Source organism: Homo sapiens, chromosome 2 (assembly GCF_000001405.40).
Source record: "Homo sapiens chromosome 2, GRCh38.p14 Primary Assembly".
NCBI lineage: Eukaryota > Metazoa > Chordata > Mammalia > Primates > Hominidae > Homo > Homo sapiens.
In genome coordinates this window covers 53578466-53606464 of record NC_000002.12, presented here as the reverse complement: position 1 = coordinate 53606464, position 27999 = coordinate 53578466, and the positions used below count along the sequence as shown (strand labels likewise).

The 27999-nt window shown below is 41.2% G+C and overlaps 1 long non-coding RNA gene across 2 annotated transcripts; it reads left to right on the top strand.

The window, feature by feature from the left end:
* The first annotated feature begins 320 nt into the window (after positions 1 to 320).
* Positions 321 to 26729, top strand: LOC105374600 (uncharacterized). Of its 2 annotated transcripts, XR_940087.4 has the most exons (6): positions 321 to 545; positions 1550 to 2191; positions 2947 to 3080; positions 4135 to 4242; positions 25087 to 25313; positions 26375 to 26729. It is a non-coding gene; the product is annotated as an uncharacterized LOC105374600 (long non-coding RNA). The 2 variants fall into 2 exon arrangements; XR_940088.3 differs by lacking the exons at positions 4135 to 4242; positions 25087 to 25313; positions 26375 to 26729 and having other exon boundaries at positions 1550 to 1638; positions 1905 to 2191; positions 2947 to 2986.
* Positions 26730 to 27999: the final 1270 nt, after the last annotated feature.

Sequence of the window (27999 nt, the reverse complement as noted above, 5' to 3'; positions counted from 1 at the left end):
CGCCATTCTCCTGCCTCAGCCTCCCGAGTAGCTGGGACTACAGGTGCCACCACCACGCCCGGCTATTTTTTTTTTTTTTGTATTTTTAGTAGAGACGGGGTTTCACCACGTTAGCCAGGATAGTCTCCATCTCCTGACCTCGTGATCCGCCCGCCTTGGCCTCCCAAAGTGCTGGGATTACAGGCGTGAGTCACCGCGCCCGGCCGAGATGCTTTTACTTCTAAGGGAAATTATGGGAACAGAGGATTAGGGAAAATGGTGTGAGCCATTGTAGGATGCAGCCCTTCTGCAGTGTTCTGTGGGAGAAACCCTAAGCAGATAATCAGCATTTATTGTGTCCTCAGTGACTGGTCCATTCTATGCCATATACAACTGTCTTTACAGAGCTTGCAGTCTGCTGAGGGGAACATCCAAAACTATCTGAAGCCCCGGGCTGAACCAGGCTCTGCAGACATTGGTGGTGTCCTAGAAGGCTCTTGCTGAGGTCTTATGTCTGAAAAGAAACCCTCGGAAACCCACTTGAGTCTGTCTTGCATTTCACATGAGTGAGTACAGTCTGCTTACTTCCTGGTGAGAGAACATAACTGTCTAGAGTTTTCACATCCATATTCTCTGGAAGGTTCTAAAGATGATGGCATTTGACTGGGCAAAGCCTTGTACCCAGAATAAGCACCTGGATGTCATCTCCCCAAAGGTTGAGATGGAGGAGGCAGTGTAGAAACAGGAAACAAATATAGACTTGTGGGGGGAGATACAGGTCTAAATCCTAGTTTGGCCACTTACTAGCAGTGTAACCTTGGGCAGATGACTTAATCTCTCTGTACTTTGATTTCATCATCTGCAAAATAGGGTTAATATTACCTCCTTCTTGGGGTTATTGTGAGTATTAAATAAGAGAGCACATATAAAATATCCATCACAGCACTTGGCATAAGATAGGTACTCAAAAAATAGTAGCTTTATTATTTTTATTATGGTGATTTCCCATCATAGTAACTCTAATATAAAACAGTTAAGCTGATTTGCATGTACACTTAGATATGCAGTTTTCTCTCGTTATTTAAATACATTTTTATTCCATATTCAGTTTGAAGTATAGTTCATGTCATGAATATTACTTTGTCTTTAAACTAGAAACACTCAGAAAATTGTCAGCAATGTATAATAATTATAATATTTTTGTCTTAGCATTTAAAAAATAACCACTTATAAATATCTAAGTATAATATTTCCCTTTCTACTGAAGGGAAAATATTTTTCATTTATTGCAGTTCTACCTCTGAAAATAAACACCACAATGTAAACATACTAGCAAGGCTGTCTAGAGCTTAAAAATCAGTGAAAATGAATTTATAACTCCAGGGAAAGATAATGAATGCACACTTACAAACCTCTATTTGAGAAGATGTATGAATTAAGGGTAAAGGTGTGAAAAGTAGCCAAAATGGGGCACTGTCTCAAATTATTGGTAAAAATAGCGTTTAATCCTCATCATTCTCATCAACCTTGCCTGGCTTAATGCACCGTACGTTGTCTTTGGCCTTTGTAGAACAAGGCTTCATTCTGCAAAAATATCTGGGACCTTCAAATTCACAAGTGGATTTTCTGCTCAGGGGAGAGCTACCAATCGGTTGAAAGGTATGTTACAGCTCTAAGAAGCTGCATCCATTTCCTGTAGGATCCATAGTTTCTGGTTCTGGTTCCAGGGTAAGTATCACTTTACCTGTGTGGTTTACACCCCTTCCTCCATGGCTGGTTTCTGTTCCTGGGGCTGTTCGTCCCCCTGTAATTCCCGTCAACCACTTCTCCTTCTCTATGTTGACATCGGCTCCCTGAACTGCCCTAGGTGTGGTTGTGGTCTTATTACTCTTTATTTTGCCTATCTGCATTCTCCCACTTTGCAGTTCTGTGTAATTGCTGGGCCGCTGGGTTCTTTGCATCTGTTCTTGGAGGCCACTGAAGTCACGTCCTGAGTTACCTCTCATCTGGGCCTTGATTTGCTTCATCTTTGGCTGGGCCTCAACAAATCTCTTCACCTGAAAGGAACTCCTTCAAATGAACTGGTCGCCATATGAATTGATGCTACACTTTGAGCGTTGCCGCAGTCAGGTGAATTCAAGCTACAGAGAAGAGGCGATTCACATTTTTTCCTTCTGTCTTGTATTATTCCTCCGGCTCAAGAACCTGCCAGGTGATACCTCATGTGAGAGTGTGTGTGTGTATAAGATCTATCTTTCTACCTATAGTTGGAAGAAAAGTTTGTTATTTTAAATATTAGTTGCTGTAGGAGAGCATGCTCAAACTACCATGTGAGATCCATTAATGGGTAATGAAATCAGCATAACAGGTTTCAGCCAACTAGAATTTTTCCATTTAAAAAAAGTAGAATTAAAAAGGAAATATCAGGGTGCAGTTTATTTTTATTGCGTTTTACTTTTTTTTTTTTTTGAGATAGGGTCTCACTTGGTTACCTAGGCTGGAGTACAGTGATGCAAACGTGGCTCACTGCAGCCTTGACCTCCTACACTCAAACAGTCCTCCTACCTCAGCTTCCTGAGTAGCTGGGACCACAGGTATGCACCACCACACCTGGCTAATTTTTGTATTTTTTTTTTTTTTGTAGAGACTACTTTGTTTTAGGGTCTCACTCTGTTGCCCACTCTGGAGTGCAGTCGTGTGACCACAGCACACTGCAGCCTTGACATTCCAGGCTCAAATGATCCTCCCACCTCAGTCTCTTGAGTAGCTGAACTACAGGCATGCACCACCACACTCAGCTAATTTTTTTATTTTTTGTAGAGATGGGATCTTACTGTGTTGCCCAGGCTGATCTTGAACTCCTGGGCTCAAGTGATCCTCCCACCTCAGCCTCCTGAGTAACTGGGACCACAGGTGTAAGCCACAATGCCTAGCTAATTTATTATTATTATTATTATTATTTTGTAGAGATGGAATCTCCCTATGTTCCCCAGGCTGATCTTGAATTTCTGAGCTCAAGCGATCCTCCTGCCTTGGCCTCCCAAAGTGCCAGGATTATAGGCGTGAGCCACCATGCCTGGCCAGAGAGCATTTTAGTAAGGGTAAGAGATCTCTCTCTCTTTCTCTCTGTCTCTCAGTCTCTTTCTCATCCATCATGTTTGTATGTGTATATACTGAGTTGCAATGTAAATGTATTTCTTATTGAGGTTCTCAACCAAGAAAGTTTGAAAACCACTACTCTAGTAGAATTAGAGCAGAATTCCATCCAGGAGGAACATTTTTCTTTTGTTTTAAAAATTCATATACCTTCTTGGGGTGGTTTTATAGAAATGTTGATTTCTCTGCTTACTACCCGATTCAGCTCCATGCCAACTGCTACTAGGGTGCTTAGGGTAGGGCATGCAAACGAGAAAAATGATTTGCATAATAAAGTTTTCACCACCTTTCCTGTGGGCAAGAGAGTTCAGGGTTTGGAGGCTCTGCAAATAAACAAGAGAGGAATGTTGAGGAGAGGCTGCTGGAAGCTGAAGTTTGGGGGTTCAGATGACAGAAGGATGAAAGGACAAACACATAAACAAAGCTGGTGGCATGGAGGTAGGGGAGCAAGGAGAACCCAGATAGTGAGAAATTCTTTAAAATTAGGGGGAAAGACGGCCGGGCGCGGTGGCTCACACCTGTAATCTCAGCACTTTGGGAGGCAGAGGCAGGCAGATCACAAGGTCAGGAGATTGAGACCATCCTGGCCAACACGGTGAAAACCCGTCTCTACTAAAAATACAGAAAACAAAAAGTTAGCTGGGCATGGTGGCGGCCACCTGTAGTCCCAGCTACTCGGGAGGCTGAGGCAGGAGAATGGCGTGAACCCGGAAGGCGGAGCTTGCAGTGAGCCGAGATCACGCCACTGCACTCCAGCCTGGGTGGCAGACCGAGACTCTGTCTCAAAAAAAAAAAAAAAAAAAAAAAAACCCAAAAAAAAACTTAGGGGGAAAGGAAGGTGGCAGTAGAGGGAGGGGGTGAGGGAGTCCTTGAGAAATGTTGGCACGGATGTATGATAGTCAGTTTCAAGTTGTGTATTCCATGCTGCACTCCATTACTTCCAAATCCTCACACAAATACTTATTTTGCTCATAACCTTGTGTTTGTGATGTTCTGCAGAAAGAGGGCAAAAGACAGTGGTCCAGAACTCCTAACATGGAGCTGAGCATGTCGGTTAGGATCCAGAGAACAGCCACGAAGCAGGATTGACCCAAGTATGGAAGCTAGGTAACCCTTTCTCTCAAATATGCCAGGGGAAATGACATTTGAAAAGATAAGGATAAATTCTGATGTTCCAAGTCTCAATGTCCTGTAGCCAAAGAACACCAGGAACACATATGTGTTAATAGTTGAACAAGTTGGGTCTACTACTCATTGCAGCTGCAGCGGGGGAGAACTTACCTTGTGGGGAGCTGTGGGGCGTCTCAGTGAATGGATTTATGAAGGCTTGCAGGCTTTGGTCTTGTGTTGGGTGATTTTAGGGGAGGTTTTAAGGAAGCGGGCTTTGCTCTAATTGAATGCTGTCAGGAAGCGGAGATAATTGTATGATTGGTTATCCTAACTATCTTATGCATCGGGTGGGCAGGCTAGAATGAGGCTGAAACCTTAGTTGGTAAAGCAGCAGCAGTTGCACACATTAGCTCGGAGAGGGGGACATCTGGTATTTCGTGGGTTGGACAATATTCCTGCTTTGTCTGTGTTCACACGTATGGAGTGGTCTTATTTTTGTCCTGATCCGTCATGGGCACAGAGTGGCCTTGTTTGGTGCTGATGGTCCATAAAGTTATTTGTGTTCAACAAAAAAATACACCAAAGTGTTGCTCATAGTACCAGGCCTGTTCCCAGATAATCAGGGTCTGCTTGTCTCCTCAGTAGTATGGTCGTTTGAATCATTTTACTTGAATATTAAGAGACAGGGTGAGCCCAGGGAGTTGTGAGACTGGGGTCATCAAGATGACAAACGCATATTTTTATGCATACATATGTGATGTAGTTTATGTATACATAAAGGTTTCCTACATAGTTGTTTAATGTATGCTGTTTAATGTATGTTGTTTAATATACTTGTTAAGTACCAAGTTCCCTCTGTGAAAGGAAGGCAAATTTACATCTTCCTCATTAATTGAGAGAAATTCCACAATCTCTCTTGTGACTTTCATTAACTATCTTCAGATTTACCCATCAAGAAATTAGGGAGCTGGGCACCTGACTCAAAATTTTCTAGTATAATATGAGTGACAAGGTCAGATGTCTGTAAGGATGGATGGAACTGATTACCTCCACAAATTAGGATGGAATCTTGTAGATACGGAGTTGCAGCATTCTTTGTGTGCTGAGAGCTAGAAACCCTGCGGATGGCCTGAAACACGCAGTTTCCATGAGTCAGGTGGCTGGGCTGGGGAATGGTGCTGGCAATATAATGTTTGTGTGGTTAAATTCAGCTGAGCTCCACTTGAAATACAGCTGGCTGGGCTTCAAAGGAAAACAGAACTATAATGAATCATTGCACACTAGAGTGGGTTAATACCATAATATCACTGAGAAATCATTTGTAATAATGGTGAATTATACAACACAACAATATGCTGACTTTAATTCCAGTGCCATATGGCTTTTGGTTTACTTTTATGCCTTTGGGAGGGATAGGTTGCTGTGGTTTAAGGTTTTTTGCATGAAGAAGATCATAAAAGCAGGATGTTATTTTATTAGGAGAATAGAATTCTCAGTAAAATATAAACGTAGGACATAAAATGGAGATGGAGGAGGATTAGCAAATGCAAGATGACTTTTATTATTGTGTAGTCAATGAGAGTTGTAGTACATTTACCCCTCCTTTTTGTCGTTCCCGGGGCAGTGGGTGACTTCAGAATGCCTGGCTTCTGCTCTAGGGCTGCAGCATTCAGTGCAAACTTGTCTCTGGGTATGCTGCTTACACATCCCCACAAAGAAGGTTATGTTCCTTGTTTTTCAGAAAAGAACTCAGGTTGAGCACATCACCCTACTTAAAGTACACAGGACTAGGCCAGGCATGGTGGCTCATGCCTGTAATCCTAACACTTTGAAAGGCTCAGGTGGGCGGATTGCTTGAGCCCAGGAGTTCGAGACCAGCCTGAGAAACACGGTGAAACCCCGTCTCTACTAAAAAAAAACCCCACAAAAAGCTAGCTAGGTGGGGTGGTGCGCACCTGTAGTTCCAGGAACTTGGTAGGCTGAGGTGGGAGAATCACCTGAACCTGGGAGGTTGAGGCTGCAGTGAGCTGTGACCACTGGACTCCAGCCGGGGCATTGGTGTGGGACCCTGTCTCAAAGAAAAAAAAAAAATATGCAGGACTAAAAGCTGTGACTTCTAAGCGTCAAATTCATTTCAAATCACCATAGGTGCAGGTCAGTTGGCATTTCACTCAGAGAAGTGAATTTACCATTGCCCTTCTCTGTAACTCTGTTCCCTACTGTAGCCAAATGCTCACACCTATGTCACTTGTGAACCCTGTGCCAGCCAGGTGCTGGGATTGATGTCCCCAAAGTCCTGCAACTGGCAGAACTACATGATCGGTTGTGCATCTGCTGGTGCCTGGCTGGTGACTGTCTAGCTTCTTGGCCCGAGGTCCTACTTCTTGTTGTCTGTTTTCCTGAACCCTGGTCTTTGTTACCCTCTGACCCGGGGCACCTGTGCACCCATTAAATCCTGCCTGCCCCTTGCCTTGTGACCCCTGTTCTCTATTCCCAGGTGCTCTGCCCCATGGGGACTTGCCCCAGGTTCTGGACTATGTGCTTTATTATCTCTTTTAGCTGTCCACATTTGAATAACTTGGTTACTCTTATTTGTTTGTAGATTATAACATAAACACATTTTATTTTTCAAATATAAATTTATATTAAAATGTTGAATATGCTTTTAAACATACATATATTTCCCTGTCACTAGATCCTGAGACATCTTTGATATGCCTCTCTGAGAGGGTCATTATATCTACCAGCAACATGGTTCTGAGTCCTAGATGTCCATTAGAACCCCCTGGGGAGCTTAAAATAATGCCTGGGTGCTATTCCCCAAACTGATTTAGCTGCTGTAAAGGGTGGGCCTAGGCAACCGCAGGTAATTCTAATGTGTTGCCTGAATTGGGGACCACTAAGCTGGCACCATCAGCATTTTTAATGTTAGGTGAGGCATTAAAACGTACTTTTTAGGTATCATTGCCAGATTTAGCAAATAAAAATACAAGATGCCAAGGAGAATTTGAATTTCAGATATATGACAAATCATTCTTTAGTACGTGTCCCATGCATTATTTGGGACATATTTTTACTAAAAATTATTCGTCATTTATCTGAAATTCAAAATTAACTGCGGATCCTGCATTTTACCTGGCAACTCTACTTTTAAGGAGAATCCCATATTTTGGAGAATTTTTTTCATTTTACTCGTTTGATTGATAATCAAACTAATATGTTCTTTGTATTCATGCTCCATTGAAAAAGCACCTGAAATCAAGTTTGTGTGTTTATACCTAGGAATTTCTGAAGGAGAAAGCCTTATACATCCAAAGAAGCCAACATGTCAGCTAGCAGTGGATTTCTTTCTTTCTTTCTTTCTCTCTTTCTTTCTTTCTCTATTTTTCTTTCTTTCTTTCTCTCTCTCTCTTTCTTTCTTTCTTCCTGCCTTCCCTGCCTTCCTGCCTTCCTTCTTTTTCTTTCTTTCCCTCCCTCCCTCCCTCCCTCCCTCCCTTCCTTCCTTCCTTCCTTCCTTCCTCCCTTCCTTCCCTCCCTTTTCCTTCCCTTCCTTCCTCCCTTCCTTCCCTCCCTTTTCCTTCCCTTCCTTCCTCCCTTCCTTCCCTCCCTTTTCCTTCCCTTCCTTCCTCCCTTCCTCCCTCTCTGTCTCTCTCTCTTTCTCTTTCTTTCCTTTCTTTTTCTTTAGAGACAGAGTCAAGTGCAGTGGCATGATCACAGCTCACTACAACCTCGAACTCCTGGGCTCAAATGGTCCTCTTGCCTCAGCCTCTTGAATAGCTGGAACTACAGGTGCATGCCACCACACCTGGCTAGTTTTTGTATTTTTTTGTAAAGATGGTGTCTCACTTTATTGCCCAGGCTGGTCTTGAACTCCGAGATCAGGCAATCTTCCTGCCTCAGCCTCCCAAAGTGCTGGGATTACAGGCATGAGCCACCACTCCTGGCCTAACAGTGGATTTCTAACTCCCCAGCTCCTTCCTCCTTTTGTACTGTCTGGTCAGTGGCTTCTCCAGGCAAATTTATAATCATATCTTTGCGCTAGTGTCCTCTTTGAAGTAAGTCAGCCCATAAGTCAGTCTTGGCTTGGGTCATGAGAAGATTCCAAAGAACTCTTTGGAAGAACCCGGGGAGGCCTAGCTGAAGGGGAATGAACAAGTTCTGGGATGTGGAAAAAAGCATATACTGTATTGGCTTTGTCAAATGGGAGTAATGTGATTATGAACCAAGTTTTCATCAATAATGCATTATTATTTTGAAGACATTAGAAGTAACAACTGTTTACAAGGTTTATGACAGTTATGACATTTTAATGGGTCTTTAAATGGAGTGAATTATTAAAAAGCATACTTCAGATGAGGTCATGGACTCTTTAAGTTTCGAGATCAATAGAAATAGCCTGTGTGTGCCAATGTGGTGAAAGCTATGCCAGTAATTTGTGCGGGCAGGTTATCAAAATAAAATGGAACGATGAGAACCAACCTTCTCCTTCTTACCATCCCCTCTCATCCAACATACATCAAGAAGACCAGATATAGCACCAGGATCCAATAATGAAAGTCTCATCTGTTCCAGTTCTCATATGAAAAATACACATATATGTTGACCTTTCATTAAGTTATTATACTAAAAATGACAAGAAGGAAAATAAAAATAACAAGAAAAAAGAGATAGTATCTTCTGCTTTCCCATCTTTCCCTTAATGATCTGGTTGCTTATTTTGGTATAAATTTTGCAAAAATTTTATTGTTTATTATGCCTCCAAAACATTAAGAGTGTCAGCTAGTGTTTCACAACAACAAGAAAGTCTTTCTTCAAGTTGAATATTGCATAAGACCAATATATAAAAAACACAGATAAAAGCAGAGCTTTTCATTTGAAGAGGGGCCCGGGATTGAGCTATTTCCTCAGTCCCACTTATTTTCGTTTGAGGTGTTTCTGTAGAGAATCTCGAGGGTTCTAGTGAGCTCAGTTAAAAACCACTGCTGTAGACCAAGCTTCTGATTTATTTGAATTTTTCATTTAGTCTCAGGTTGTTTGAATATGTATTTGCTGTTATTATTAAGAAGGTTGCTAATTGGGCAAACTCTTGTTCCTCTGTGGCAGGATTTGTAGAACATGGCAGTTTACAACTCTTACTATCAAAATCTTGTTAGCAGAGTGTTCAGTTTTCATTGTATTGTTGCTGATAAGGAGGTGTCTAGAGATTTGCATTTAATGGCGGTGGAAAATGGTGTTTGTCATTCACTGCAACTCATCCTCTTGGGAAAGTTGGAGCCTGTAAGTACTTAGGGTTCTAATAGGTGTGCTTTGTTACTGAGAAAGAAGGCAAAGGGCCCTGAGCACAAAGGCACAGTTGGAATATGGGAGAAACACAGTGTTTGCAAAGGCTCTTGGGGGAGTGAAGACCCCATCTCCTGCTAATGGCGAGGTTCACAGAATACACTCTCCCAGATACGCTCCGCCTTTTTGCCTCTTGGAATTTACGAATCCGGAACTTAACCCTGTGGCATCGTTTCTAGACAGTGTGTGAGAAATCAACGAGCAAGGGGAAAAACATTAAAGAGGTTTTAAAATTTAAGATATTTGTGGCTGAAAATAACGAAAAGGTGTCTGAAAGTGGCAATAACAATAGGAATACATATTCTGTTAAAGAACACATTTTTAGGTAGGGCAGTGCTAGAATGGGTTAATTCCGTAGTGCAACACCATCATGTAATACCCGTCTTGCCATCTGTCTGCTCTATCATCTTCAGCATTTGTTCTCTGACTTGTCTTTTTATGGTTGCAAGGTTCCTGACATGTTCTAGGCACAGGCAGGTAGCAATTTTGATGGAAGAGGTATCTTTCTTTCTGTATGTCTCTTTCTGTTCGTGAGAAAGGCTATTGGCAGAGACCGCCTGGCAGGTTTTTCTGCACTTATCATTGGCCAACATGGTAAGACAAACCCAAGCCTAAATCAGTCACGGAAAAATAAAATATTTGACTTGGGCCAATCATGATTCACCCCCTTGGGCTAGGGAGGAGCCCAGTCTCCCAGAAGCACTTGTCTCTTCTATGGACATGAAAAAAAAAAAAAGAGAAGTCTCCAGTTATAGTGTCCGCCGTAGGTCTTGGTTATGTCATTCTTTGCCATTGTTTTGGTGACAATTCAGTGATCACAGTTACCCCTAGGAGTATTGTAGGCATTTAAAAACCAAGTTACTGTGAACTATTTTAAATTAAAAATAAGAAAAATTCTGAAAAATATCTACATTTTACAGTATGTATGAAAATTAATTCCTGATGGATTTGGGGTACAAACAAAACAAAATGAAACACCTCTTCATAAATTCTAGAGAAACTAGAAGAAAATAACAGTTCAGATCAGAGGGAAAATGTGAACTCTCTTAGCTATGCAGTAGTAGAAAGCAATGGAAGAAATAACATAGAAGTATTGATATATTTGAATGTAAAAAATTAAGAATTTTTGTATACTGAGAAAAGGAAACTTGTATAAATGCACAACTGACTGGAAAAACATTTTAATCAAAGGCTAATATTTCTAAAGGTTAATATTTCTAATCTGTAATTTTACATCCAAATTTATAAGAAAAGTGCAACTAAAACTAGGATAATCACAAAATATAGGAGGAGATAATTCACAAAAGTAGAAACAATAATTATACATTAAAAAAGCCCATACAATCTCATTAGGAATCAAAGAAATTTAAATTAAAGCAAACTTGAGATGCAATTTTGTACCTTTTAGCACAACTTTAAATGATTGTAATATAATTATGGTTGTAGTGTAGCTGGTACACTTATTCATTGCTGATAAATTTATATATCTTTTTGAAAAGAAAATATGATATTATTTAATGAGAGGCACAAAGATGTTCATACTTTTTTTCCCCAGTAATTCAAATACAGAAAGTTTACCTTAACCAAATAAGAGAAGCAAAACGCTGTATATTCAAAGATATTCACTGCAGTAAAAGTTCTAATAGAAAAAAATCTGAAGACTGCTGAAATGTTCAATATTATGGAAATGACTTAAAAATTATGGCATATCCACATGAACAAGTATTATTTAAATGTTAAAAATATCAATTATAAAGACATTATAACAACAAAGGATGTGTTTAAATATGGCAATATGACAGAATAAGAATTGTAACAGCTTATGATAACAATTATATAAAGCATTTACATGTGGAAGAGAATATACAAAGATGGAAACCATATTAGGATGACGGGTTTTTGGTGATAATTGTATATATTTTTAATGTAATTGAATTAGTGATTTATTCTTATGCAATAAATCATCCCCAAACTTAGTGGCTTCCAACAATAAACACTTAATATTTCTTATAATAGAAATAAATACACATTTATTTCTATGCATTGGAAAATTGGGAGCAGCTTAGTTGGATTGTCTTGGCTCAAGGTCTCTCATGAGTTTGCAGTAAATAGTGTGAGGCTGTAGTCATCTGAGGCTTGACTGAGGCTGGAGGATCTGCTTCTGAGCTCATTTATGTGGCTGTTGGCAGGAGGCCTCAGTTACTCTCTATGAGGGTCTCTCCACAAGGCTTGAGTGTCTTTGTTACATGGCAGCTGGCTCCTCCCAGAGCGAGTAATATGAGAGAGAGAGAGAGAGAGAGAGAGAGAGAGAGAGAGAGAGAGAGAGAGGAGAGATCGCAGTGCCTTTTACAACCTAGTCTCCCAGTTATACACTGTCCTTTCCATTTTATTCTATTGGTCAGAAATGAGTCATGGAGTTTAGCCCACATTCAGAGGGAAAGGAATTAGCCTTCCTTTTCTGAAAGGAGGTGTGAACATATTTCACGTATCAAAGCATTTGTGGACGTATTTAAGTCACCACAGAAGATACAATTTCTTCTCATTAAAAATATGCTGAAACAGAAAAGAGGATGACTCATTTAACATGTATGAGGTTTGAGTGTTGAATGGTGGAAATATGGAAAAAAATAGTGACCAAATTAAAATGCCAAAAAGAGAAACAAACAAAAATCCAACCCAGAACTTAGACTGTCCCAGGTGAAGGTAATTATTTCTGTCATTGTGTTAGCCAAAAGTGTGGTATTGATGCTTTGCCTCTCACATGAGTTGAGAGGGGCAAGTGGAGGAATGGCATCTTGCCAGCAGATGACAAGAAATTTCCTTTCTTTCTAACAACATTGCACAGGTTGAGCATAACATTTTCTCAGCCATCTCTGAGGGGACTTTTCTGCTTGAGAAAGCTCTGGTTGTTAGATGTACATTTCGTCTGAATGAATAATTACCTTTAAGTGATCGCAATGCATTTGGAAGTCATTAAAAAAATCACAGAACGTGAGCTTTGGTCTATAAATACTAAATATGTATGGAAAAATAAAAAGCAAATGCCAGTTAGTACTGGGGCTACAATTAGGTATGCCAGAGCATCCTATTTGAACTTTGAAATATTTTTCTTCATTATATTCAGCTTTTATTTTTTCTTGGAAACTAGTCACTCAGTTTGGCTATTTTTCAGGCTCTGTTGTCCTCCTGCCCAGCTTTTGGTTACTCTCTTTGTTTCTGGGTCCTCTATTAGAGGGCAAAAGAGAAATGTGATAATGAGGATGATGATGATGATAAACAGTAAAACTCTATGGTGTCTTTCAAGGAGAGGCTGGAGAGTTTTTACAAGGGATTTCTAAAATATGTTGTTTTGTTTTTCATAGTCAGTGTTACATAACGAACAGAATGTGGCCTTTGGAATTGGAAAGGCCTAAGTTTGAGTCCTAGATTTTTCACTTCATTCAGTCAATAAAGGCTTATTGTGCCAGACACTGTGATAGATGCTAGGATATGGTGATGAAAATACATGGTACCATCTTCAAAGAGTTTGATCCAGTGGCGGATACAGACAAGAAAAATGGCAGGTAGTTTCCAAGGAGCTAAGAAAACTGATAGGAGGGCATTTACCCACTCTTGGTGGTGGGAGATGTTTCAGCCAGGGAAAATATCAAAGAAGAGGAAACATATCAAGCTAAAGAAAGAAGAAGGAAGAACATGTGCAAGGCTCTAGGAATAAGAGCAAGCATTGCCATTTTGTAACTCTGACAGTAGCTCTGGATGGTTGAGTGCAGAGATTGTTGGTTGACTAAATTGAAAATTATTTCTATCATTTTTTTTCTTCCTTTTTTTTTCCCCTTTATTATTATACTTTAAGTTTTAGGGTACATGTGCACATTGTGCAGGTTAGTTACATAGGTATACATGTGCCATGCTGATGCGCTGCACCCACTAACTTGTCACCTAGCATTAGGTATATCTCCCAGTGCTATCCCTCCCCCCTCCCCCCACCACACAACAGTCCCCAGAGTGTGATGTTCCCCTTCCTGTGTCCATGTGATCTCATTGTTCAATTCCCACCTATGAGTGAGAATATGCGGTGTTTGGTTTTTTGTTCTTGCGATAATTTACTGAAAATGATGATTTCCAATTTCATCCATGTCCCTACAAAGGACATGAACTCATCATTTTTTTATGGCTGCATAGTATTCCATGGTGTATATGTGCCACATTTTCTTAATCCAGTCTATCATTGTTGGACATTTGGGTTGGTTCCAAGTCTTTGCTATTGTGAATAATGCCGCAATAAACATACGTGTGCATGTGTCTTTATAGCAGCATGATTTATAGTCCTTTGGGTATATACCCAGTAATGGGATGGCTGGGTCAAATGGTATTTCTAGTTCTAGATCCCTGAGGAATTGCCACACTGACTTCCACAATGGTTGAACGAGTTTACAGTCCCACCAACAGTGTAAAAGTGTTCCTGTTTCTCCACATCCTCTCCAGCACCTGTTGTTTCCTGACTTTTTAATGATTGCCATTCTAACTGGTGTGAGATGGTATCTCATTGTGGTTTTGATTTGCATTTCTCTGATGGCCAGTGATGATGAGCATTTTTTCATGTGTTTTTTGGCTGCATAAATGTCTTCTTTTGAGAAGTGTCTGTTCATGTCCTTCGCCCACTTTTTGATGGGGTTGTTTTTTTCTTGTAAATTTGTTTGAGTTCATTGTAGATTCTGGATATTAGCCCTTTGTCAGATGAGTAGGTTGCGAAAATTTTCTCCCATTTTGTAGGTTGCCTGTTCACTCTGATGGTAGTTTCTTTTGCTGTGCAGAAGCTCTTTAGTTTAATTAGATCCCATTTGTCAATTTTGTCTTTTGTTGCCATTGTTTTTGGTGTTTTAGACATGAAGTCCTTGCCCATGCCTATGTCCTGAATGGTAATGCCTAGGTTTTCTTCTAGGGTTTTTATGGTTTTAGGTCTAACGTTTAAGTCTTTAATCCATCTTGAATTGATTTTTGTATAAGGTGTAAGGAAGGGATCCAGTTTCAGCTTTCTACATATGGCTAGCCAATTTTCCCAGCACCATTTATTAAATAGGGAATCCTTTCCCCATTGCTTGTTTTTCTCAGGTTTGTCAAAGATCAGATAGTTGTAGATATGCGGCATTATTTCTGAGGTCTCTGTTCTGTTCCATTGATCTATATCTCTGTTTTGGTACCAGTACCATGCTGTTTTGGTTACTGTAGGCTTGTAGTATAGTTTGAAGTCAGGTAGTGTGATGCCTCCAGCTTTGTTCTTTTGGCTTAGGATTGACTTGGCGATGCGGGCTCTTTTTTGGTTCCATATGAACTTTAAAGTAGTTTTTTCCAATTCTGTGAAGAAAGTCATTGGTAGCTTGATGGGGATGGCATTGAATCTGTAAACTACCTTGGGTAGTATGGCCATTTTCACGATATTGATTCTTCCTACCCATGAGCATGGAATGTTCTTCCATTTGTTTGTATCCTCTTTTATTTCCTTGAGCAGTGGTTTGTAGTTCTCCTTGAAGAGGTCCTTCACATCCCGTGTAAGTTGGATTCCTAGGTATTTTATTCTCTTTGAAGCAATTGTGAATGGGAGTTCACTCATGATTTGGCTCTCTGTTTGGCTGTTATTGGTGTATAAGAATGCTTGTGATTTTTGTACAATGATTTTGTATCCTGAGACTTTGCTGAAGTTGCTTATCAGCTTAAGGAGATTTTGGGCTGAGACAATGGGGTTTTCTAGATATACAATCATGTCATCTGCAAACAGGGACAATTTGACTTCCTCTTTTCCTAATTGAATACCCTTTATTTCCTTCTCCTGCCTAATTGCCCTGGCCAGAACTTCCAACACTATGTTGAATAGGAGTGGTGAGAGAGGGCATCCCTGTCTTATGCCAGTTTTCAAAGGGAATGCTTCCAGTTTTTGCCCATTCAGTATGACATTGGCTGTGGTTTTGTCATAAATAGCCCTTATTATTTTGAAATACGTCCCATCAATACCTAATTTATTGAGAGTTTTTAGCATGAAGGGTTGTTGAATTTTGTCAAAGGCCTTTTCTGCATCTATTGAGATAATCATGTGGTTTTTGTCTTTGGCTCTGTTTATATGCTGGATTACATTTATTGATTTTCGTATGTTGAACCAGCCTTGCATCCCAGGGATGAAGCCCACTTGATCATGGTGGATAAGCTTTTTGATGTGCTGCTGGATTCGTTTTGCCAGTATTTTATTGAGGATTTTTGCATCAATGTTCATCAAGGATATTGGTCTAAAATTCTCTTTTTTGGTTGTGTGTCTGCCAGGCTTTGGTATCAGAATGATGCTGGCCTCATAAAATGAGTTAGGGAGGATTCCCTCTTTTTCTATTGATTGGAATAGTTTCAGAAGGAATGGTACCAGTTCCTCCTTGTACCTCTGGTAGAATTCGGCTGTGAATCCGTCTGGTCCTGGACTCTTTTTGGTTGGTAAGCTATTGATTATTGCCACAATTTCAGATCCTGTTATTGGTCTATTCAGAGATTCAACTTCTTCCTGGTTTAGTCTTGGGAGAATGTATGTGTCGAGGAATTTATCCATTTCTTCTAGATTTTCTAGTTTATTTGCGTAGAGGTGTTTGTAGTATTCTCTGATGGTAGTTTGTATTTCTGTGGGATCGGTGGTGATATCCCCTTTATCATTTTTTATTGCATGTATTTGATTCTTCTCTCTTTTTTTCTTTATTAGTCTTGCTAGCTAGTGGTCTATCTATTTTCTGATCCTTTCAAAAAACCAGCTCCTGGATTCATTAATTTTTTGAAGGGTTTTTTCTGTCTCTGTTTCCTTCAGTTCTGCTCTGATTTTAGTTATTTCTTGCCTTCTGCTAGCTTTTGAATGTGTTTGCTCTTGCTTTTCTAGTTCTTTTAATTGTGATGTTAGGGTGTCAATTTTGGATCTTTCCTGCTTTCTCTTGTGGGCATTTAGTGCTATAAATTTCCCTCTACACACTGCTTTGAATGCGTCCCAGAGATTCTGGTATGTTGTGTCTTTGTTCTCATTGGTTTCAAAGAACATCTTTATTTCTGCCTTCATTTCGTTATGTACCCAGTAGTCATTCAGGAGCAGGTTGTTCAGTTTCCATGTAGTTGAGCGGTTTTCAGTGAGATTCTTAATCCTGAGTTCTAGTTTGATTGCACTGTGGTCTGAGAGATAGTTTGTTATAATTTCTGTTCTTTTCCATTTGCTGAGGAGAGCTTTACTTCCAAGTTTGTGGTCAATTTTGGAATAGGTGTGGTGTGGTGCTGAAAAAAATGTATATTCTGTTGATTTGGGGTGGAGAGTTCTGTTGATGTCTATTAGGTCCACTTGGTGCCGAGCTGAGTTCAATTCCTGGGTATCCTTGTTGACTTTCTGTCTCGTTGATCTGTCTAATGTTGACAGTGGGGTGTTAAAGTCTCCCATTATTAATGTGTGGGAGTCTAAGTCTCTTTGTAGGTCACTCAGGACTTGCTTTATGAATCTCGGTGCTCCTGTGTTGGGTGCATATATATTTAGGATAGTTAGCTCTTCTTGTTGAATTGATCCCTTTACCATTATGTAATGGCCTTCTTTGTCTCTTTTGATCTTTGTTGGTTTAAAGTCTGTTTTATCAGAGACTAGGATGGCAACCCCTGCCTTTTTTTGTTTTCCATTTGCTTGGTAGATTTTCCTCCATCCTTTTATTTTGAGCCTATGTGTGTCTCTGCATGTGAGATGGGTTTCCTGAATACAGCACACTGATGGGTCTTGACTCTTTATCCAATTTGCCAGTCTGTGTCTTTTAATTGGAGGACTTAGTCCATTTACATTTAAAGTTAATATTGTTATGTGTGAATTTGATCCTGTCATTATGATGTTAGCTGGTGATTTTGCTCGTTAGTTGATGCAGTTTCTTCCTAGTCTCGATGGTCTTTACATTTTGGCATGATTTTGCAGCGGCTGGTACCGGTTGTTCCTTTCCATGTTTAGCGCTTCCTCCAGGAGCTCTTTTAGGGCAGGCCTGGTGGTGACAAAATCTCTCAGCATTTGCTTGTCTGTAAAGTATTTTATTTCTCCTTCACTTATGAAGCTTAGTTTGGCTGGATATGAAATTCTGGGTTGAAAATTCTTTTCTTTCAGAATGTTGAATATTGGCCCCCACTCTCTTCTGGCTTGTAGGGTTTCTGCCGAGAGATCCACTGTTAGTCTGATGGGCTTCCCTTTGAGGGTAACCCGACCTTTCTCTCTAGCTGCCCTTAATATTTTTTCTTTCATTTCAACCTTGGGGAATCTGACAATTATGTGTCTTGGAGTTGCTCTTCTCGAGGAGTATCTTTGTGGCGTTCTCTGTATTTCCTGAATCTGAACGTTGGCCTGCCTTGCTAGATTGGGGAAGTTCTCCTGGATAATATCCTGCAGAGTGTTTTCCAACTTGGTTCCATTCTCCCCATCACTTTCAGGTACACCAATCAGACGTATTTGGTCTTTTCACATAGTCCCATATTTCCTGGAGGCTTTGCTCATTTCTTTTTATTCTTTTTTCTCTAAACTTCCCTTCTTGCTTCATTTCATTCATTTCATCTTCCATCGCTGATACCCTTTCTTCCAGTTGATCGCATCGGCTCCTGAGGCTTCTGCATTCTTCACGTAGTTCTCGAGCCTTGGTTTTCAGCTCCATCAGCTCCTTTAAGCACTTCTCTGTATTGGTTATTCTATTTATACATTCTTCTAAATTTTTTTCAAAGTTTTCAACTTCTTTGCCTTTGGTTTGAATGTCCTCCCATAGCTCAGAGCAATTTCATCGTCTGAAGCCTTCTTCTCTCAGCCTGTCAAAGTCATTCTCCGTCCAGCTTTGTTCCGTTGCTGGTGAGGAACTGTGTTCCTTTGGAGGAGGAGAGGCGCTCTGCTTTTTAGAGTTTCCAGTTTTTCTGTTCTGTTTTTTCCCCATCTTTGTGGTTTTATCTACTTTTGGTCTTTGATGATGGTGATGTACAGATGGGTTTTTGGTGTGGATGTCCTTTCTGTTTGTTAGTTTTCCTTCTAACAGACAGGACCCTCAGCTGCAGGGCTTTTGGAGTACCCTGCCGTGTGAGGTGTCAGTGTGCCCCTGTTGGGGGGTGCCTCCCAGTTAGGCTGCTCGGGGGTCAGGGGTCAGGCACCCGCTTGAGGAGGCAGTCTGCCCGTTCTCAGATCTCCAGCTGCGTGCTGGGAGAACCACTGCTCTCTTCAAAGCTGTCAGACAGGGACATTTAAGTCTGCAGAGGTTGCTGCTGTCTTTTTGTTTGTCTGTGCCCTGCCCCCAGAGGTGGAGCCTACAGAGGCAGGCAGGCCTCCTTGAGCTGTGGTGGGCTCCACCCAGTTCGAGCTTCCTGGCTGCTTTGTTTACCTCAGCAAGCCTGGGCAATGGCGGGCGCCCCTCGCCCAGCCTCGCTGCCGCCTTGCTGTTTGATCTCAGACTGCTGTGCTCGCAATCAGCGAGACTCCATGGGCGTAGGACCCTCCGAGCCAGGTGCGGGGTATAATCTCGTGGTGCGCCGTTTTTTAAGCCCGTGGGAAAAGCGCAGTATTCGGGTGGGAGTGACCCGATTTTCCAGGTGCCGTCTGTGACCCCTTTCTTTGACTCGGAAAGGGAGCTCCCTGACCCCTTGCGCTTCCCAAGTGAGGCGATGCCTCGCCCTGCTTCGGCTCGCGCACGGTGCGTGCACCCACTGACCTGCGCCCACTGTCTGGCACTCCCTAGTGAGATGAACCCGGTACCTCAGATGGAAATGCAGAAATCACGCTGCATCGCTCACGCTGGGAGCTGTAGACCGGAGCTGTTCCTATTCGGCCATCTTGGCTCCACAAACAACCTCATTTTTTTTCTTCTCTACCTTCTGTCATAGAGGGCTCTCTTGCACCTAATGATAGCCATTTGATACAGTTCTGGTCAATGAGATGTTATCACAGTTTGCTGGAGGGATTCTGCAAATTTTTTTGTTTCATGATTAAGGAGGAACACTCGGCTAGCACAGACCTTTGCCCTTCCTCCTCTTCCTCACTGTGAATGCTGACACAATGCGTACAGGACAGCTGCCATTTGTGACCATGAAGTAACAATGCAATATACCAGAATAGTGGAGAGGAAAAATTAAAAGAGCCCGGGGCCTTGCTTATATCACGGGGTCACTGTGACAGCCCCACATTTCCTACTTCCAGAATTCCTAGGTGAGAAAATAAACTGTTTAATCCACTTTGTACCACATTTCTAACTGAAGAGAATGAAGCATTAGACTGGCATTTGAGCTATGAAAGAAGATGAGGTTAGAGTTGTAAACCATGTTAAGAAATTTAAGTCCTGTACATCATGGTGACTGTAATTAATAACAAAATATGTGTACTTGCATATTGCTAAAAAAGTAGATTTTAAGTGTTCTCACCACAAAACATAAGTACGTAAGGTAATGCATACATTAATCACCTTGATTTAGCCATTCCACAGAGTATAAATGTATCAAAACATCATGTTGTATGTCAGAAATGCATACAATTTTTACTTGTCAAATAAGAAAAATAATAATACAGGAAGAAAAGGAAAATTTGAGTCCCATCTCAAGGGCAATTGGAAACTTTTGGCGAATAATTTCTCTAAGCCTCGTTTTTTTAATCTGGAAAGCGGGAATAATAATGTGTGCCATATGGCTTGTGACGATTAAATGAGATGTGTAAAATGCACAATAGGGTTGGCACTTAATGGGTGCTTAATAATCTGAGGCTGTTTTATGATGATCATAATGATAATGAAGAAAAACTTTTCAATTATCTGTGCAATTCTGAATTAGTAGAGATAGAGTGTACAACTTCTGTGTTCCCTGTGGTTTGTTCATTCATTCCTCCATATATATACTATAATTAATAATTATGGTCCAGTGGAGGATACAGACAAGAAAAAAGGCAGGTAGCCTCCAAGGAGCTATAATTATAATGAATAAATACAGCTATACTATATTAATAATTATTAATTATTATATATATATACAGGCACACTTGTTTTCTAGGTACTATGTTAGCAGCCCAGGACAGAAATAGTCCTTATCCTCATGGAATTTAACATTCCAGTGAGAGGAGACATAAACAAGCAAATGAACTGGGATATGAAATAATTTCAGCTATGATTGAAGTGCTTTCTAGGTTATGTAATAACTTGGTCATGGAGAGCCACTTCTTGAAAATGGATCACTCGTAGGCAGGGAGAAGAGTTCCTAATGAATCTAAAAATGCCAAAGAAACAATAGACACTGGAGACTACCAGAGGGAAGAGACAAGGAGGGGGACAACAGCTGAAGAACTAACTGTTGCGTGCTATTCTCAGTACCTGGGTGATGGGATCATTTGTACCCCAAACCTCAGCATCATGCAGTATACCCAGGTAACAAACCAGAACATGTACCTCCTGAATCTAAAATAAAAGTTGAAAAATAAAATGAAATAAAAATAAATTTAAAAAATTGCCAAGGAAAGCACATGTGGTAAATGAGTGTGTTTCCCTAGACAGCATTATTAGATGCTATGGAGTGCTGATCGGGGAGAGGCAAAGACATGCAGGGCGACCTGAGCAGCCCTTTCATTGGACTCTTTCTAAGGTTCTGGCGAGGCTTCTTCTCTGTCCTGAGCTCAGACCACAGCCCAGTGGCACGCCATGGCCAGGGAGCCCACTTGCTTTGTAAATGCAAGCCCCCGGGCTGAATGACTAATGTCTTGGAACTTCCTTCTGAGAGCACCAAACCACTGCCAGTAATCATTAGAGACCCCTCATAAGATCTGAATAGACAAAGTCATTCATGTTAAAATTAAATTGGGTTGGGCATGCTGGCTCACACCTGGAATCCCAGCACTTTGGGAGGCCAAGGCAGGTCAATCACCTGAGGTCAGGAGATCGAGACCAGCCTAGCCAACATGGTGAAACGCCGTCTCTACTAAAAATACCTAAAATTAGCCGGGCATGGTGGCGTGCGCCTGTAATCCAAGCTACTCAAGAGGCCGAGGCAGGAGAATTACTTGAACCTGGGAGGCGGAGGTTGCAGTGAGATGAGATCATGCCACTGCACTCCAGCCTGGGTGACAGAGCGAGACTCTGTCTCACACACACAAAAAAATTAAATTAAAAAAATCAAATTCTTGGCTGGGTACAGTGTCTCATGCCTGTAATCCCAGCACTTTGGGAGGCCAGGGTGGGCAGATCACAAGGTCAGGAGATCGAGACCATCCTGGCTAACAAGGTGAAACCCCGTCTCTACTAAAAATGCAAAAAATTAGCCAGACATGGTGTTACGTGCCTGTAGTCCCAGCTACTCGGGAGGCTGAGGCAGGAGAATCATTTGAACCTGGGAGGTGGAGGTTGCAGTGAGCCGAGATTGTGCCACTGCACTCCAGCCTGGGTGACAGAGTGAGACTCTATTAAAAAAAAAAAAAAGAATCAAATTATTTTGCATAAAAGCAAAAGAGAGATTGTGAATTCTCCACAATTGATGGCTGAGCTTGATGGGTGAGATGACAAGTTAGATGCTGCCAATGAGGAAAGTGACAACAACAAAAATAGCTACTATTTAGTGAGTGGCTGTCATACGTTGGCACTACACATAGATTAATTCATTTGATCATCACATAACTGAATTCTGTAGTCGTTACTATTCTTGTTCTATCTTGTACTGCATAGGAAATTGAGACTTAACAAATTTGGAAACTTAATATTTCCAAATGTTACACAGCTGTAAGGGGTGGGGTTCAGTTTGAACTCAGACAGTCTAATTCCAGAGCCCATACCACACTACCTGAAAATTATCCCTGTTTTCCTACAGAATGCTTGGGTGCACATAGGCTACTTCCTGCAGGTTAAATATGGGTGTCGTCAGAAACCAGGTCATCTCATCACGGTCTGGGTAAACTGTCATTTTCACTTGCTCGTATATTTCTTCTATATAAACTGAAATATGGCCAGTGTCACTTTGCAGAAGCTAGTGGCTTTCTGTCCCTTCAAAGTCAGAAAATGTTCATTCATTAAACAAATATTTACTGAGCACCTACTACAGGCTGGCAGTGTTTTTCAGAGCACACAGCACTTAACTCTTCTAGCTCCTCTCTCAGAGAGACCATGGGATTTGTGTGGCCACTTCACAGTAGGTAGTCATCTATAGTTGATGCAAGACTGTCTGTCACCAGATGAACAGCTTGTTTGCTTATGTATGACCCCGAGTCCTGAATGATTGACTATCTTTCCTGTTTTGTCAATTACTGAAAGATATTAGCCTTTCATTCTGTTAGGCAAAGTTTTCTTCCCTTTATAGGAGAATACTCTTGCACAAACTTTCCTGCTGTGACATTAATTTTAAGATCCACCTTCTTCTCATTGGCAGTTCTTTTAGATTTGTTTTTATGGAGAATAAATTTTTCCTTTTGCATCTGAGCCTCCCACCGCACCATGGTGTTAACTGGCTGTGAAAACCATTTCTCTGTGTGTAGCTAAGGCAGACTAGTAAGGGTGGAGGGGAATCCAGGGGTCAGAGGGTAGGCAGAGGAATCCAACTATTTTCTTATCTTGATTAAGACAGTTCTGAGCCATGAGGGAAAAATACGGCTGTCATTTCTTTACAGGTTGGTCCCTCATTAGGACAGGTTCTTGTGACCGTCATGGAAACATGAACTTTAAAGCTGAACAGATAATGGAGTATAAAGGAAATCCCAAATAAACATCGATTTAAGGATTGGTGTTCCTCAAGAGAAACCACTGTTCTATACTCTTCTATCTAAGCAATAGAAGATGAGCAAATATTTAAACCCAGGAATGATTTCTAATGTGAATAATAGAAGCCCTGACTACAGGCTTATTTGTTTCATGTAACAAGCTGATATTATTAGCTCAGTGGCTCAATGACATTAGAGCTAGCACGTCTAAGATTCTCTTGGCCTTTTTTTTTTGGATAGCAAAATGTTCCAGCTGAACATCACATCTGTGTTCAAGGCAGGAAGAAAAGGGAAAGAAAAAGATAGTGGCAAGCATGTCTCTTGCTTTTGTTAGGAAGGTAAAACTTTTCCTTAAGGCCCCTGCCTGACTTCCCTTGACAGGTCGTTAACAGAACTGGATCATGTGGCCATCCCTTGATACAGGAATGTGTGGGAAAGCTGGCAGTGGGATGGTCATGATTGATTTAGACTAGTCAAAATTTATTCTGTGGGATGGGACATATTTTCACTCTGGTCAAAATTAAGGTTTTATTAGCAGGAAGATGGAGGAATAGATACTATGTAGGCAGCTAACACTGTGTACCCCTTTGTTCATTTTCCTTGCCATTGGGAGCCACATGGAACAGGCTGTTCCATGAAAGCCCTAAAAAGACCTCTTTTCTCAGCTTTATTCTCACTGTGATTCAGGGCACAGCAGGCACCATGAGCACCCACTTTGAGAGTGGGGAAATGTCCTCATGTGGAATCCATATGTTTTCAAGGGCACTACCTCCTCCTCAGATTCACACCTACGTGGAAACCAACAGGTTTACGTCATTCCCCAAACCCCCTCTAAGCTCAGTTCTAAAATCTTTAGATAGCTGCAAAGCAAACAGCTGAGCTTTTCTGCTCTACACACACACACACACACACACACACACACACACACACACACACACATTTTTGGGCTGATAATAAAGGGAAAAGTGGGATTTCAGTAACAGATGACTATTTCAGCCAGCAAATGCTTTTTGTGTTTTAAATGAAAAGCAAAACTAATCTCCAAGTCCTAAACATTAGAGATCCAGAGATAATGCACAATGAAAGAATTCAATGTTAGTACCAGGGCTCTACCCAGCAGAGAGGAAATGCAGGTTCTATCATTTTTGGCAAATAATTGTCCACACACTGACTTTTTATTTCAGCCTTGTCTTATGTTAATGTTCCCTTGTCCCAGAATGTGTCCTCCCTTAGCAGCGACAGATTTGACTTATGGATAGTTGGGTTGTGGTCTTGTTTTGTAAGTCAAGGTTGGAGATGGTTGGAGAGAGGGAAGGGTAAGACAGAGAGGGAATATCCAAGACATAGTTTGTCATCTCGGAGGGGCATCTGTTACCCAGGACCACTCTTGCAACAGTGCACTAGAGAGCGACCAGTAGAGTGTTGCACATTGTTGCTGTCTGACAGTTATAAAGCTTAAATTAACTGCATTACCTTTCTTGAGTGGAGTGGAGGTGGGCCACACATTCAGTACCCAGAAACATCTTCTCTTGATCAAGAAAGGACTGCTAAATCTTTCATATTGCAACTTCATATGAAGTTACGTATGACCCTTTCATATTGTAAGTTACATACATATTGAAGTTACACATGACCCTTTCATGTTGTGTCTTCCCCTCCATACTTTGGCCATAGCCATAGTGAACTCAACCACAGCATTCCATGTAACACATCCGATTTATTTATTTATTTTATTTTCAATTTTTTTTTATCACATGCTTTATTTGTCTGTCTCCTAGATAAAAAGTTTTATTGGCCTCAGGCTGAAGTTTGCAATTATATTCCAAATACCCAAAGTGGGTATATTATTGACGTTGTCCTGAGAGAGGGACAGACAGTTTGACTGTGTTGCTTTCTTTGGAGTCAGTTTTGGGGCTGTTAAGGATTACCTGGAAACATTAGATGAAGCTGGGGCTGGACACTTCTTCTCAGGACAGAAGCACATTCATCTAAATGGAAATCTAAGGTGAGTTGTCACTGTTATACTCAATGACAAAGAGTCTGACCCTAGAGTTAAATTAGAAGTAAGTCAAGGATTTGAATGTCCCCAGGCTCTGGGCAAGTGGTCCTTTCCTGTGTTTAAAAGCATAGAGGAAATTTTCTTTCAACATTTATGCTTTAACTGAATTGCAGGTGAGTGAAAATGCAAACGCTGGATTTTCATAAAGAAGCTTTGATTATTGTTATTTTTTTTATACATTTAATAGAAAACATTAAGAAACAGAGAACTTAAACGTTGCTTTTGGCTGCAGGTAACTTTAAATGAAAAATGAAGTCAGTGCTGTTTCCTTCCTTCTTTTATAATATGCTTATTCATTTAGGAGTTTTTAATCGACTCTGTGGAAAATAACTGAAACAAAATATTTTAAGTTATTTGAGCCAAGCAATTCAGCTTACTTTCGAAGATGGAGGAGAGGAAGAAATATCACAGCATTGCCTGGTTAAAAATTGGCAAGCATTGTGTGCCAAGTATGGCTCTTTTTTCCTAAATAAAATAAGAATCAGTAACTAGAAGACTGTTCACTACTCAATCCTTAGCATTCAGAACAGGATCCTGTACATACTAGGACACACACATGTACCATCTTTGCAGGGCTAGTGTGTTTCCATCTTTACTTTTTAAAAAATAAATTTTAAAATTTTGGAAAAATTTCAGATTCACAGTAAAGTTCTGAAGTGTTATAGAAAATATTGCATACCCTTCACCCAGCTTATCCTAATGTTCATCATGTCTCCTACTATACATCTGTCAATGCTCACGAGTTAACACTGGGATGTTTGGTCTGAACTCTGAATTTACTCCGGTTTCGCTAGTTTTTCCACTAACGTCTTTTTCCTCTCCAGGACCCCATCGGGATTCCACACCACATTTAGCTGTCATGCCTCCTTCCTCAGCTCTGTGCAGAGGCAGCTTCTCAGATGCTCCTCGTTTTTCCTGACCTTGGTAGTTTGAGGATTACTAGTCGGGTGTTTTGTAGACTGCTCCTCAATTTTGGCTTTTCTGATGTTTTTCTCATGATTTCTCAGGTTGGGAGGATGCGAAGTGCCATTTCATCGTGTCCTATCCGGAATGCATACTCTCAGCATAACAGCACCAGTGCCATACCTAGAGAGGCCTTTCCGAGTTACCCTAACACAAAAAGGTGTTTCCAGTCATTCTCACATCAGCCTTTTAGTTATTTTTTCAGTACTTATCACAACTGGGGATTGTTGTCTTGTTGGACTGTTTGTCTGTTCCTCTAACTGGACTGTAAGCTTTAGGAGGGCAGAACTGTGTTTATCTTGTTCACCTGTTTGTTCCCAGCACCTAGTACCCTGCCTGGCACATAGCTGGCACTCAAAAATGTTTAATAAAGAAAACATTGTGATTTTCTTATGTAAATGTGTGACCATTCTTATTATAAAGATAAATAATACTCATTTCCCCATTTATTGTATGGATACTGGGTGTTGTCAGAAATGCATGGGTAGGAATTGAGCTGCATATTTGGGAGATCTAGGAGGCTGACAGGCTATGCCATGGGCTCCTCCTTTTATCTCTGCTTGTCTTCGAGAAGTTGCTTTATTCTCTTTCCTGTCTGTAGATAGCATCCTGCCTTGAATGTGAACCTGAAGCTGGGGATGGGGTAGGGAGGCTGCAACCTCTTGCTGACAACCATAAAGTGACAAGCCAAGAAGCTAAGGATGGAGGAGGGATGTAGCATCCCTGGCTACGTGGCTGAGCCACTGCATCAGCTCTGGGCTGCTCTTGCTGGACTTTCTGTAGCATGAGGCAAATAAGCCCATCTCTGCTTAAGCCACCCCAAAGTCTGTGTTTCTGCTACGGCAGCCGAGCACTCTCCTTACTCAAATGGGAGTCTGGGGAGTTAGAGCCAAGTAGCAGTCGGTCCTATATGGCCGTGGGGAGAGTTGCACTTGCCCTCCTCTGGCTGCGTGCTTTGGGAAGACTGTGCCAGATTCTGACCTGATCTGCTTGTAGTGTTTGACCCAAGCCTCCCTCTCTTAGGGAGACACATGCAATCTGGCCTTTGCTACTGGTGTCTCTATGTGGGACGAGCAGTCTATTTCCCGAAGGTGGATCTGCCTCCCTTCCAGTTATGACAGAGGCAGCAGAGACCTTTTGTCAACAAAATGTTCCCCTTTCCCTCAAACTGTGCCCTGGTTGGGCATCTAATCTCCTAATGGGCTTCTCTGAGACCTCTGTCAAGTCTAATTTCAGTACAAAGTGATACTCCACAGGGACCCATTTTTGTCTTGCCCCCTTAATTTTCCTCGTTTAGAATCTAGTGGCATATATATGGAGCTGAGGTAACCTGTGCAGTGCATAGGAGGTGTACCGGGGAGATGGTACCAGGTTTAGCTACCCTGCTGTTCTATTTGTACCATTTGTTAAACACAAATTGTTTCCACCCAGCCTTGATGTTATGAGGTGCCATTTATTGCATAGACAACTGAATTTGCCTACTCACTTATGTTCCTGTGATCAGTCTCCCCATTCCCAAGCCACCTTCTTCACACTGTAACCAGAGTTTCCTTTTTGAAGGTCTCAGGCACAGGGGCAGTCAAATTCCCACACATGGTTGGGCTAACCTTATAAATATGCAGGACCATGTCCATGAATATGACTCTTTTGTCCTGTCCTGTCCCAGTGG